General features: G+C 38.1%; 1 protein-coding gene across 7 annotated transcripts in view; it reads left to right on the forward strand.

Annotated features, from left to right (window-relative positions):
- The window catches only part of RP1 (RP1 axonemal microtubule associated), a 312,050-nt gene that overhangs the window by 246,112 nt on the left and 51,741 nt on the right, over positions 1 to 14,197 (forward strand). Inside the window, exon 26 of one of the 7 annotated variants that reach the window (XM_047422073.1) lies at positions 449 to 614. The exons of the other annotated variants lie outside the window; for them this stretch is intronic. Coding sequence (XP_047278029.1) covers positions 449 to 481 — 33 coding nt within the window. The 3' untranslated portion in view covers positions 482 to 614. Of the gene's footprint in view, positions 1 to 448; positions 615 to 14,197 lie in introns of those variants that run through there. 7 annotated transcript variants of the gene reach the window in all.

Below are 14,197 nucleotides of genomic sequence, written 5' to 3' on the forward strand. Positions count from 1 at the left end.
TTATTTCTATCTCTAAGCTATCTTTCAGATGAAATGTGTATATTATGGCAGAATTATTAACATTCTTCACCAAGTTTGAATATTGGTCTCTAGCATCACAGTAAATAAAATTTGTGCTCTCAACTTGTCCACAGAAATAGATACCACAATAAAATAAAATAATACAAAATAAACAGTGGCATATTTCACACCCATGACTTGAATCCTATTATTCTAAATGGCTTACCTGTTGTATATTATACCCTGTGAATTTGTGCCATGTTAATTGGACCTTGTTCCAAAAAGTGACTGAGTTTATACAGCTGGAAAATGCAAGCAACCTGGTTGGACTCTGGGTGTTTTGTTGGTATATTAGTTATAACATCCTGGCGATGACACCAGGTGCATGCCCATGGAGTGGAAATGTTTTCCATTTCTCTAGTTTTTTTTTTTTTGTCATTTTCTGCAGGTGCCATGGAAGGCAAATGAATGCTGTTGGTGATCTCCAGGCTATTAGAGAATCCAGCCATTATATATGGCATCTGAAACTTTGTGAATGAGGGCTCCTTATGGCTAGTGATCAGGTGTGTTTCCCAGCAGCCTTCAGGATATGTTAGGTGCTAAAAGATAATCTTTGATTCCTCTGAGTGAGTCCACCTTCTCTTTTGCAGAATGTTTGTATCTAATACAACAGAGGAAGGTAATAAATTTATTGTCAGTGGTGTTTTTATTATTTTTATTTTTATTTTCTTTTATTTTTTGAGACAGAGTCACACTCTGTCACCCAGGCTGGAGTGCAGTGGTGCAATCTCGGCTCACTGCAACCTTCGCCTCCCGGATTCAAGGGATGCTCCTGCCTCAGCCTCCTGAGTAGCTGAGATTACAAGCGCCTGCCACCATGCCCAGCTAATTTTTGTATTTTTAGTAGAAACGGGGTTTCACTGTGTTGGCTAGACTGGTCTCGAACTCCTGACCTCGTGATCCACCCGTCTTGGCCTCCCAAAGTGCTGGGATTACAAGCGTGAGCCATTGTGTCTGGCCGGGTTTTTTTTTAACCTCAGCATAGAGTCAACTGGAGAGTTTAGCGATGGACATCCTTTCAGTGTGGAATCATGGACATTTATCTTAGTTAGAGCTGATTTAAAACACCAAAAACCCATCTCTCTTTACAAGGTTTCCCTGGCTACATCTTAGCAAAATGACATAACTGCTTTTTGGCAGGCAGTGTGGCACTAGCTTTACATTTGAAATTTCACAGCATTGTCATTTTTTTCAACTCCCACATTTGTTTCATGAATGCAATTCATAAAGTTATATACCTTGCTACATGTGAACATAAGTGTTTTAAGAGCTCACAACTTAGATAATCAGGCGTACAACTTACTTGGTGATAGTTTTGAAGATAGAATTGGAATATTGGTCATCATAAAAACTTAAGGAATGGCTCATATATTTGCCTCCATTTCTTTCTTTGTATTTTTACAAAAAAAATTCTTTGTTTTTAACAAATTGTAATGGGTGAAGAGGAACATTTAGTACCTCAAGGGGAGATGGATAATTATCTTCACCCTGAGATAATACCATTGTTAAGGTTACCAAATGCTAACTATGTTGTCCCCAAAATAAGCTGAGAGTGCATCAGTTTAAGTCACGTTTCTCTTTAAAGTCTTATTTGCCAAAAAATTAGATTTCTAAAAGAAAAATTGAACAAAACAGGCACGTTCTAGGTGACAGAAATGTTTCATTCTTGTTTGTATGAGAATGTCAAAATTAATATCTATTGACCACCTGCAAAGGGCAAGGTTTGTTTGAGGTATTCTACTTGTGTCATATAATTAAATCTCCTCCACCTGTTATGAGGTAGGATGCAAAAGGACAGGTAACTTGTAAGGAGCAATGGGCACACAGCTTTATGAGGCCAGGTCTGTCAAGCTCCATCAGCCTTTCATTATATATTGTTTGAACTAGAGACTGAAGTAGTCTCAAACATTGCAAAAAACAGAAAGAAGGGTATCGCTAGTCCTTCAAAGAACAAATTCTTTTGAACTGGAAATTTTATTTTCCTTTTTTTAGTTAGAAGAAATTATGGTAGTTACATGGTTAGAGTCTTAACTTGCTAAAACATTCCAGAGCCTAGGTTGACATCTCACTAGATCCTTTCACTCTTTTGACCACATATGTGTAAATGCATGCTGTATTCAATGTGTGTTTCTGATGCTTGTCTGTTTATTTGTTTGTATTTGAGCTTTTCCGTTAACTTAGAGAGGTACCTGGATGTAGGGACTGTATTAGTCATGGTTCTCTAACCATGCAGAACCACCAGAATGTGTGTGCATCTCTATCTACCTGTCTGTCTGTCTATCTATCTATCTATCTATCTATCTATCTATCTATCTATCTATTTATCTATCTCTATCTATCTATCATGAGAGATTTATTTTAAGGAATTGGCTCACAATTCCTTAAAATTGTGATTGTGGAGAAGTAGATTCAAATACTGCAGTGTGGGCTGGCAGGCTTGAACCCAAAGAAAATCTGCAGTCCATGTCCAAGTCCAAAGGCCATCTGCTGGTAGAATTACTTCTTGCTTGGGGAGGTCAGTCTGTTCTATTGAGGCCTTTAACAGATTTGATGAGACCCGTCCACATTATGGAAGGCAATCTGCTTTCCTGAGAGTCCACAGATTCAAATCTGATCTTATCCAAAAAAAAAAAAACACCTTCTCAGGAACACTTAGAATACTGTTTGACCAAGTATTTGGGCCCCATGGCCCTGTCAAGTAACCACATGCAATAACCATCATAGCGTGTAACCATCATATCATGAAACTTCTTTCAACAACCGAATGAACAGGGGCTTATAGAATATGGGGTTCACTGAGGTACAAGAAAATTTCTCTCCTCCCAGAATCAGGAGCAGGAAAATGGTAGTTACTTTCTGATCCTTCAAGAAGCCATTTACCCTCAGTAAACTGGAGTCCACTGCATGGAGGCCCACTGCCCTCTAACTACCTGACTTCCCCGCGGCTCTGCACGAAGGTGTCTTAAGATGTCTGGGGCAAATGGAAGATGGTCTTCCCTTAGCCCACTGTCCAGGATCCCTCAAGTGCCCAGAGTGTGGAAGTGGACATCTTTGCATTCCCTGACATTCTCCACAGATTTGCCATCAGCCTGAGCTTTGAATAGTTGTGATTTAATACTGAGGTTGCTAGCATGTGGGGTACAGGGAATGGGAGTTAGAATCCTGATCTTCTTAAGAACTCTTAGCCTATTTTATGGGATTGGAATACCCAGCTAGTTGTTACAGAGCATGACTCTAGAAGATGTGAGCAAAGCTCCCCTTCCTTTCATTTTTCACTTGACCATTATTTTACCATTTCTTTGTTAAAAAATGTTTCTTCTGCTTCCAATTGTTAAGTCAGAAATAAAAAGAAAAATGTTACTCCTGCACGGGTATAATCTCATAAAATTTGGAAGGGACTGATGAACAGACATTGGTGTATAGTTGCTTACCTCTTTGTTCATCTTTTCTCTCTGGAAACTCTGACTACTATGTTACTAGAGTAGCCCTTGATGGCCACACCCCGTTCTACCTAGATCAGCTTCACAGAGCCCACTGAGGTTTGTTAAGTTCCTTATGTTTAACAACATTATCTGTCCTATAGCATAAACAATTAGTACATATAATTTTATAATGCTAATGAAGAAGATAAGCTACCAATGAAGCTAAAAGCTCTAGTTCTACCAAGTATTTGAATAGTTGTAGTATTTATGCAAATAATTTCACTTGGCACTTCAACCTATGTTCCTTAACAATTTAGCTATTTTTTCCTGTCTTTATATACTCTGGGCAATAACTTTTGCTTCCTTCACTGCCTTTACCTAGAAAGAAATGTGGCTCTATACAAGATTGAATTTGTTTTTGTTAACTTGGAGCTCTTTCTAAAGTTTAGTTGTACATATAGCCTGCTAACATGGTATGCCATCATAAATAAACAACTCATATTCTTACTCATACATTCTCTTTCTTCATTCTGTGATGCAAAACTTGGGTTGGTATCTGTGGGAGTTATGTATATGCTTCCAAAAGAGGCCAAATTCTCACAGGATATCAAAATAGCCTAGTGAGATAGTATCAGCAATGGGGGTTCAGTGGCAGAGATGGAGTCGACTGCTGGCATCTGAATTATGTATTAATAAAAGTTAGATTCATGCAGTATGCTAGTAGTAGCAGACTGTGTTGTTCATAAAAGCCTTAAATTCAAACAAATTCTCTGTATGTATTTCAATCTTATGCCAGAAAGACATGCTGTACATAAAAAAAGACTGTTTCTTTCACAGCCATTGTACTGTAAAGAAAATAAGATTCTATTTTGTTTGGTGGCTTTGCTAGGAAAAAAATAGCACTCGCTCCTAGAACAACTTTTTGCAACATACTTTGATCCCAAGGACTACATGCATGCCATTTGCCATGGTTAGGTTGATGCTGAAAAGTAAGTGGTGACTTCAGCTATATTATTTAAGGTGGCAATAAGAAAGTCATTTGTGATGCAGTGTGATAGCGAAAGCATTTTTTTCTCTGAATTGCAGTGTGAACGAGAGTTGAAAAACATTTGTCAGTATTCCAGTTGGCAAGTGGTACCATTTTAATAAGTCAGTATTGCCGAGAGTCCAGGTAAAAGCTCATCTGAAAGTGAAATGCACTGATGAAAGCTCAGGCCAATGAACGCTTTCACCACTAGAAACAGTATGCCTATGTGTCTAGAGCACATATATGAGAAGCCTTTCAGAATGATGCACACGCCTGACCATATGCTCTAGTGAATGCCATTAAAATCCCTTCTGGTTTTTCAGAAAAAATAAACATAATTACATTTGGCACCAGCATGAACTTATTTTAGAATAAAAAAGATACTAAACAATGTTTCAAAATGACTGGGGTTCTAGAGTACCCTGCTTCTCATAAGCAATCAGCCTGAGAAGATGAGAACTCAGGTGGCTGTTTTGATCCCAGCATAAAGATTTTAGAAAGGGTATTTCTGAACATTCATAATACTTAATCCTATTATTTGGGCAATTATTTCCTTACACATGGCAGGTGATCACTTTGTAAATAGATTTTTTAAGTCCCACCACTCTATCTTTTGCTTCTTGCCTTTGTTATGATTGAATTTGATTGTCAAAGTGCTGTTCCCGGAGACCATTGAGATCCCCTTCATAGGCGTGATGTCTCTTGAAACTCACCATATATTGAATTATTTTTTTCCTTCTATTGGGAAACAGCTGGAAATAAATTGACTGTTAACTATTGTTCCCAAGCAAGTTCCACCAAGGTCCATGTGTTCCTTTTTCAGAAAGGTAAATTTCACATTATGGCAAGAAATGAAACATGTAATGTTTGCACTGTTTCTGTGGAAAATCCCTGTTCCAACACTGTGCCTGCTTGCTGTTTAATGTTGTTCCTGGAGAAGAGGGAAGGCTCGGTCCAACATGCCACAGAAGATTCACAACTGCAGATCACCACTGTTGATGATAGAAAAGGGCATAAAAGGTGGCACCATTCCATTCTGCTGGCTTTGAGGCAGAACCTGTTAGCAGGCCAAGCCTTTGTTTTTGCCACCCCAAGTAGTAAGAGGTTCAAATCTGCGCAAATGCATGGAAGAATAGGAAACACACATACAGAGGGCCAAACCCAGGGTGGTGATTTTTAAATGCTGTGAAGTATAGTTTCATATAGAGAATTAAGAGATAGCAGAATAAACCCTTGTTGGTTGTTTCTAGGTCTTTTGCTACCCTGAAGCATCCTCATCTTTGCTTATTTTAAAACAACCAAAATAAAGCCAGTTTAGAGAAGGGAGAAGCCCCTGATCTTGAACAAGCACATAGTATGAGGTTCTATCCATTTTGTTTTGCTGTGGTGTGCTTTGCAGCTTTCCTTAGAATTGTTACTGCTGCCAACTCAAGCCAGGCCTGTCTTCCCATGTCTGCACTTCACCAGCATCCTTATTATAGGGCCCTCCTGCCAGGCTGCTTCCTGTAATGATTATCCCCAAACCCACCTTTAGCAAATTATCAACACTATTTGTAATTTTAATAACAAAATGTAACATTTTCTGCCATCCTAGACTATTTTATTATTGCTCAAATCAGTCTCCAACCTAAACTATTTTAAGTCAACATTTTCTATACCTGCACAGCCCCCTCTTGCAGTACTAATCACATTAGTAATTAACATTTTAAGATCTGCAACCATTTCTGAGCTGTATGCTCTGGGAGGGAAGAAGTCGTGTCATATGTATGCTTCTTCGTCAGTACATGGCACCGGACAGACATAGGACTTCAAATATCTGTGAAATGGGTAAAGTTAAGTGTGAGTTCAAATTACATATTTCAAAGTTTAGATATCCCCAGCCATTTTTAAAACTGGTAGAATCAGGGATTCAAAAGGTTGGGTGTGCGAAACATTCACTAACATTTCCAGGTTTTAACTGATTCAAGTTCATATCTTGAGCTTGACATTTTGATGCTTTTCATTGAACTTAGGATTTGACAGATAATTTCAAGCTGAAAGCTCACTTACCGCATATTGCCTTCCTTCACACTATTCAGCAAGACTTGGTTTCTGGGTGTTCCTCACCAAAGCTCTGACTTGGAGTCTTGTGGAGGTAGCTCAGTTATAATTAAATAAAAACATTGTATAATTGAACAATATTTGTCAACTCAGTTTCAAGAACAGTTTGTATCTTCTTCTCTAAAACTAGTCTATAAATTACAGAGTGAGCACAACCATACTATATCGAGACCAAGAGAAAAACTTATAGATGTCATCAATACAATAAGAAATATGTACGTTTGTCAGATTTTTGTTTTCTTTTATTTATGTAGACACAGAATCTCACTCTGTCGCCCAGGCTGGAGTGCAGTGGTGTGATCTCGGCCCACTGCAACTTCTGCCTCCCAGACTCAAGCGATTCTTGTGCCTCAGCCTTCCGAGTAGCTGGCATTACAGGCATACGCCATCATGCCTGGCTGATTTTTGTATTTTTAATAGAGACAGGGTTTTGCCATGTTGACCAGGCTGGTCTCGAACTCCTGGCTTCAAATTCTCCACCCACCTCAGTCTCCTAAAGTGCTGGGATTACAGGCGTGAGCCACTGTGCTTGGCCTTTGTTTGCTTTTAAAATGCATATATTAATAGTTTCTGTCAGTGTTTTGGTTCCTATGATATGGTAATATATAGACTCAGTTCAGACATGTCATCCTCATGCATGGCTTCTCAATAACCAACCTTAGAAAGATCCGTAAAGTTATTTAATTTTATTTTAAGCTTTCACTTCCAATTCTGTTTTCTTTTGCCTCATAAGCACATGTTAATTTTATCTTCCTAAAATTCTACTGGTTCTCAGGCATAACAGCAGATTCTCATTCACATGATTCCAGATATCTCTCTCTCTTCTATGTATCTATGTATCCATGTATCTATCTATCATCTATCTATCTATCTATCTATCTATCTATCTATCTATCTATCTATCTCTCCGTCTTCTATCATTTATCTATTGAATTAAAAAGTAAAGGAAGCAGGAATGATATTCTTGAGACTCCTCTGAAGATTCCAGCAGCTCGCTGCTATAGTTATTTCAGGTTCTTAAATGCCTGTGGTAACTCATTCTTACTAATCCATCTGGCCAACAGATTTTATTGGTATTAACACTTCTGTGCCACAAGTCAAAATTTAGTTTCTGCTCTCATTTTCTGTAAGAATCTTATTGTGGATAATGGTGAGGAGGTGTTAACGGGAACCCAGTCCAACTTTTATACTTTGCAGAAAGTGAAGCCGTAGGCATTGAACTCTAATTACACCTAAATTGTCTCGAGCAGTTCCCGAAGTCTAGTAACAGTAGCCAATCAAATCAACATCTACATGGTTCCCATGGAATACTTTTCACTCTCCTTTATCTGGACTCAGAAACTGAATTAACTGACAGCAAGTTAGCATGCTAGGGAAAGAATCCTGGCTTTCAGGTTTGTCACACCATCTTGGGGGACAGAGTTCATTGAATAGCCTGCCTAGACACCCAGGGATGCACCTCCTCAGTGCTTTGCCTCAACTTTACTCCGTGGTTAACCTTTGCCCTGAATGCAAATAGAAATCCATGCCATGGTAAAAGCAGGCCATTGCCCAGAAATAGGAGAGTAGTTGAATGGATACTGCTGGCCTACTGAAACTTACAGCAGAATGAGAAAAACTTTTCCACTCCATGGATATAAAGGACATTTAAAATTAATTAGTTTTAACATTGCTTCATTATTTTCTTTTGCAAACAAGATATTATCTAATTCCGTGGAAATATTCTATAAATATTTGTGAGCCAGCCCTCATATGTACAGTCACATGGACATCCTCGTGCACACAGCATTTACACACATGCACTGGATAAGCACAGGCTGTGTCTACACAGGGGGCGAGTATGTAGAAAATGCAGGGGCTGGAAAGATAAGGAACTATTTGAAATTATGTTTGCTGTTTCTATTTTTTGTTTTCCTATGTGGATCAGGTTTATCTCTCAGAATAGAATTGTCCAAATGTTTTAGCATGTGGTGTGGTAAGGACAGGCAATATGAAATCTAGTCATCTGGAATTAAAATTTCCTGCTCTGAATCTTAGAGGCTGTGGGGAGTTGAGCAAATGATATAACCTCTCTGAATCTTAGTGTCCTCTTTTGTAAATAGGGAGAATTATGTGTATCTCATATGGCTCCAGTAAGGATTTAAAATAACTTATGTAAAATGTCTGGCAGAGAATCTCCTTACCTCAACAAACAGGCCTATTGTTCTTGTCCATGTTTTCAGTATTAAACCAGATAAATTTTGACTCTTAACTTTTGACTTGGTTTTGGATGTAAGATTTGGTTAGTTTTAAGTAAAAAGTCAAAATTCTTAGATATGTTAGGCGCATATTTAAGACATTTTCTTGTTGTAACTCTGAAAATGAATGGGCCCATGAAAATCTCTGCAAAGTTCACAAGGTATGAGCCTTAAAGTGGATATCTGCAGAGAATGAATGAGCACTCAAAAGTAAAAAATGAACAAAAATAAAAATAATGCAAAATAACTGTACTGTCCCTTGAAAGTATTTCAGACTATAGTATTATATAACATGGAGTGGTTGCTGGTTTTTCTGTAGAGAACAAGAAGCCATAATGGATAATCATTGGAACATATAAAATCTGATGTTTTCTTAGAGTTCACTGATTAGACTCTGTACAGAATTGGTCCTGGTATGGAACTCAGCATCTCTGCAAGGAACACTGGACATAGAATTTAGTCTCCCAATTTGCCCTATTATGTTTTCAAAGCTCTCTCTCAGGTGTGCTGGTTACTTAATGTTCTTTCATAATCGTTTACTCTGTTAAGTTGACATTTGATGCCACTCAAATCACTTCAGCTATTTTGTCCTTCTTTGGAGAGGTTTGCTGCTGATCACAGAATGACAGTGCCCATGGGCTCATTAAAAAGAGTGCAAATTTTGCCTAAAAAATAAAAAAAGCTCCAGTATGTCTTTGGAAACACCAACATGCACACACTCTCTCCCCACCGAATGCCACCACCTGGCCACTGCCATAGAATTTTGTCGTTTGTGAGAATGGCTTGAACCTAGGAGGCAGAGGTTGCAGTGAGCCGAGATTGCACCACTGCACTCCAGCCTGGGTGACAAAGCGAGACTCCGTCTCAAAAAACTAATAAAAAAAGAATTTTGTCCCTTGTGATTGAGCTATTCTTTTATAAGTCAAGTGGTTTAAGAACTAATTTCAAAATAGTTTTATAATATGCTTATTTAATAACTCTTAGTCATAGAAAAATTGGTTTCATTTTTAAGTTAAAATCAACCCTTAACTCTCTTCTTCAAAGAGGCATGCATAAACTTTTGGAGTTAATGGATGTGTTTGTTACATGGATTGTGGTTGTGGCTTCATGCCATGTCCAAACCCCTCAAATTGTATATATCAAATATGCAAAATTTTTGCAAATCAATTACACCTCAATAAAGCTATTAAAATAAATAAATTAAAAACTCTCTTCTTATACTTTTCTTAAATGAAATACCAAAATAATCAATTAACCAATACTTAATATTTGCATCAACTCAAGGAAGGAGTACACTTTAAATATTCTAGACTATGAATAGGACTAATATTGATTTGCTGTACTCCAGACAATGTTGCTTGGTAACAATATTCCTTACATAAAATGTGAATATTAAGATAGATTACAAACGAAGTCTGGAATTTTCTTCAGAATCTAAGATGGCACATTTTAAAACCTCTTAATGGCAGACAGATGGGTTGGATAGCATCAGAAGCTTCTTTCCAACCCTTTAATTCTTAGAGTATTTTTACAAAAACAGAAGTGTGTGTGTATGTGTGTTTGGTGTTTGTGTGTGTGCAGAGAGAGAGAATGCTGAATACCAGGCCGATATTTTAGATTTTAAAAATAGATGTCTGACTTAGAGTTCTGTTTGCTAATGTTAATAATTTTCAGAAAGATAGTTCATATTTGGCTCAGCTGTAGTAATTATTATAATGGGGATTAACTTATGTCTAGACATGAACATTTTGCCTTTGCTCTGAGTGGTATTATTACTTCAGAAATTTTAATACACCATGAATATGAACCTGTAGCACACTGATGTATCCCAGTTTGACTGTAACACTTTCTGAGCCTTACAGATCTCTTACCTACTAGCTTTGTGATGATTGCTGAGTCCTAACTGTTCTTTCACAGGTGTAAATGTGAAGCCTTAGGGGATTCAGCTTACAAGGAAGGTAGATTCTTAAAAATAAAACCCTCACTCTCCAATTATAAACAATCCCAATGAGAGAAAAGGGAAAAGTATTTAATAAAGTCACTGACTACATAGAGATTTCTTTGATGAACTAGAATTTTGAAAGCTGCATTCTAAAATGCATAAAGGGGCAAAATTAAGAACCCATAAAAATGAATAGCAGGAACTTTCCAAAAAGGTCTCTGTAAGGCTAAAAGCTCCATACTACTGCAGACATGGAAAATGCTAATGGCCATTAAAAGCAAAGACAAAGGAAGGAGTCCCCTGCTTTGATCAAATAGATATAAGAGCAAGGAAAAAATACAACTGCTAAACTTTGACTGGACTTTTAATGAAAAGTCTCTAACTTGGAAATATAAAGGCAAATAAGGTGGAATTTCAATCTAAGAAACTGAGGATTTTGTGAGATAAAATATGTGGCTTAGGATGTAGCCCAAATATTTAGGATTATTCTCCTTGCCTTCATTTCCAACATCGCCATCAGGGTCACCACCTTCTCTTGCCCAGACTCATGTACTAGTCTCTTACATAGTCTCTCCTGGCTTTTACTATTACTTCCTTGCCATCCTTCTTTTGCAGAACAGTCAAGGAAATCTTTTAGAAACATAAACTGGAACATGTTATCTCCTGCTTTAAATCCTCACATGGCTTCACATCCCTGCCTGAGGGAACCACCTATCTTTTCATCCTTCATCCATTCTGTGCTTCCCCCAGGTCCCAACAGCCCAGGGAGCTTCTCTCTGCTCCAAGCTTGACCACTCCAAACTCATTTCCACTGTAGGTCCTTGAAATGGTTATGGTAGTGAGCCCCTCTGCTTGCAGTGCTTTCTCTCCTGATATCCACCAGCTTAGGAGAGTATCTTTTTGTCATTCAGATCTCAGCCTGAATATTACTTTCTTGGAGAGCCTTTCGCTGGCCACCCTATCTAGAATGACCACCCATTCAGTCTCTTCAGAGGACTGAGCATGTCATTGCTTTATTTCTCATTTGTGTTCATTGTCTGTCTTGTCTCATTAGACATCTCTGAAAGTAGGCTCCATATGGATAGGTGCCCTATTTTATTCATTGCTGTCTCTTCCCAGTCCCTAGAACAATGGCTGGTTAGATAATAAGCACTCAGTAAATGTTTTTAGATGACTGAGAGACAGACTGAATACATGGCTAAGAACTGGGAGAATTGAGACAAAGAAGATCAGGTTAGGGTTGGTGTCTTGGGCATGCTTTTGGAGGAGATGGGATCAAGCTGGACTTTGCCCAAGGCTTGGAAAGGTGGAGGGGAGACTTGGGCACACATTGTGAGCCAGGGGAATGTTAGGAGAGAAGATACTGATGGAGGAAGCCTATAGCTGTTGGCAATGGTGACAAATGAGCCTGTCTAGAAGGCAGAGAGTGGTAGGGAATGAAACTGAATGGGTGGAGTCAGAGTAATGGTGGCGAGTGTTTGAAAACTAGACAGAAAATGCTGATACCTCTGTGGAAAGTAGAGTATATTTATTTCTATGAGCAAAATAAAACTATATTCAACACAGAGGAAATTATGTTACAATATAGGTGAGGAATAAACAATTTCCTCACTTATGTAGGGAGACTTTCTTTTTGTTAAATGACTCTAGAACACCTCATTATTCCATCTGTTAATTTTACTGATGTTCACACATGTATGATGTACATAAAATAAAATATTTTTCTCTAAAAATAATATGTACTCTTCATTTTAATTTATTAGACTCAGGTGGTAGTATTGCAAAGTTCCACTAGCAGAGAAAGTCATAATTAATATGCAGCCTATTTCATTTTATTTTCACAAAGGAACTATGAAAGCATAACTGGGAAATGTGACTGCCCCTTACAGAGCTTGTATTTCCTGTCATAAAACTTGACCAAATGAAATGCCCACAACCAGAGTTTTTCTATAAAATTAGATAAAAACAGCAAAAAGCCCCAAAATCTTCAACGCTTTTTAAATTTGCAAATATGCAGTATGTTAACAACAACTGCTTAGGTGATTTTTCATGCCAAGGTCATCTTACACTGCCTTGGCTAGGTATGAATTTGACTGACAGTTTTAAACCAAATGTTCACTGAAGTCCTGCATTCTTCATTTGCATGCATCTTATGCAACCTCAAACTGGCTACTTTAGCTCAATTTCCTCAACTGTGAAATGGATTCAATAAATAGTGTCTTTGCAAAAATGCAAACTGTAGCTGAAATAAGCCTTATGCTAATGATGGCCTGTTCTGACAGGAGATTTCCTGTTCTTTCACTTCCATCAACCCTAAGAGATGCTATTTCATAAAAACCTATCAGATTTATTTAGCTTGAGACTCTTTGTTCAAAGTGGCAGCTATATCAAAACAAACACACAGATTCAGTAATAATGAAAAGTTTTGACATAGAAAACTAAGGCTAATGACAGACCTCTTGATGCAGAAGGACTTCTAAGTGGAGGTGAGTCAAGATGTCAGGCTCAGCTTTACTTAATGAGGCAGCCTGCCTAAGGAATGGCAGGAAGGGGTGTCAGAGTGTCCTTGCCTTAATTCTCAGAACTTGAGTCTTAGGGTTTATGCCCACTGGAGAAAGGCAGCTACCTGTCTTTGTCCTGTGGATCTACTTTGAGAGGTGAATTACTATTTGTCCTGCATTTTCTTTAAGTGAGAAAACCTTACTGACAGGATCTCAGAACAAGGCAAATACTGCAAATCCCAGAAACCACAGAGCAAAACAAGGAAATCAGCAATGATGGAGTGCATTCTGTGAGGAGAGTCTTCAGGTCTGAAGGCTTAAGTAGGGGCAGAAAAGAGAACTCAGAATGCATTGCTTACAGTGCCAGGATGTTACAGAGGAGCGGGTGGGGACTGGGGATGGGAAGAGGAGGGGGAGGTGAAATGCACTGGAGGGCCCAGAACACATTCATTATAAACTTTCTACCCACATATCTCTCTCTCTCTCTCTTCCTCCTTTTTAAGACCAATAACTCTTAAATTTGTGCTTTTGAGGCTATTTTCTGGATCCTGTAGGCATGCTTCATTCTTTTTATTCTTTTTTCTCCTCTGTGTATTTTCATATAGCCTGCCTTCACACTCACTAATTCTTTCTTCTGCTTGATCAGTTCAGCTGTTGAGAGACTCTGATGCATTTTTCAGTATGCCACTTGCATTTTTCAGCTCCAGAATTTTTGCTTGATCTTTTTTATTATTTCAATATCTTTGTTAAATGTCTCTGATAGGATACTGAATTCCTTCTATCAGTTATCTTGAAGTTTGTTGAGCTTCCTTGAAACAGCTATTTTGAATTCTCTGTCTGAAAGGTCACATATCTCTGTCTCTCCAGGATTAGTCCCTGGTGCCTTATTAGTTTGCTTGGTGAGGTCA

The sequence above is a fragment of the Homo sapiens genome, chromosome 8 (genome assembly GCF_000001405.40).
Source record: "Homo sapiens chromosome 8, GRCh38.p14 Primary Assembly".
Classification (NCBI taxonomy): domain Eukaryota; kingdom Metazoa; phylum Chordata; class Mammalia; order Primates; family Hominidae; genus Homo; species Homo sapiens.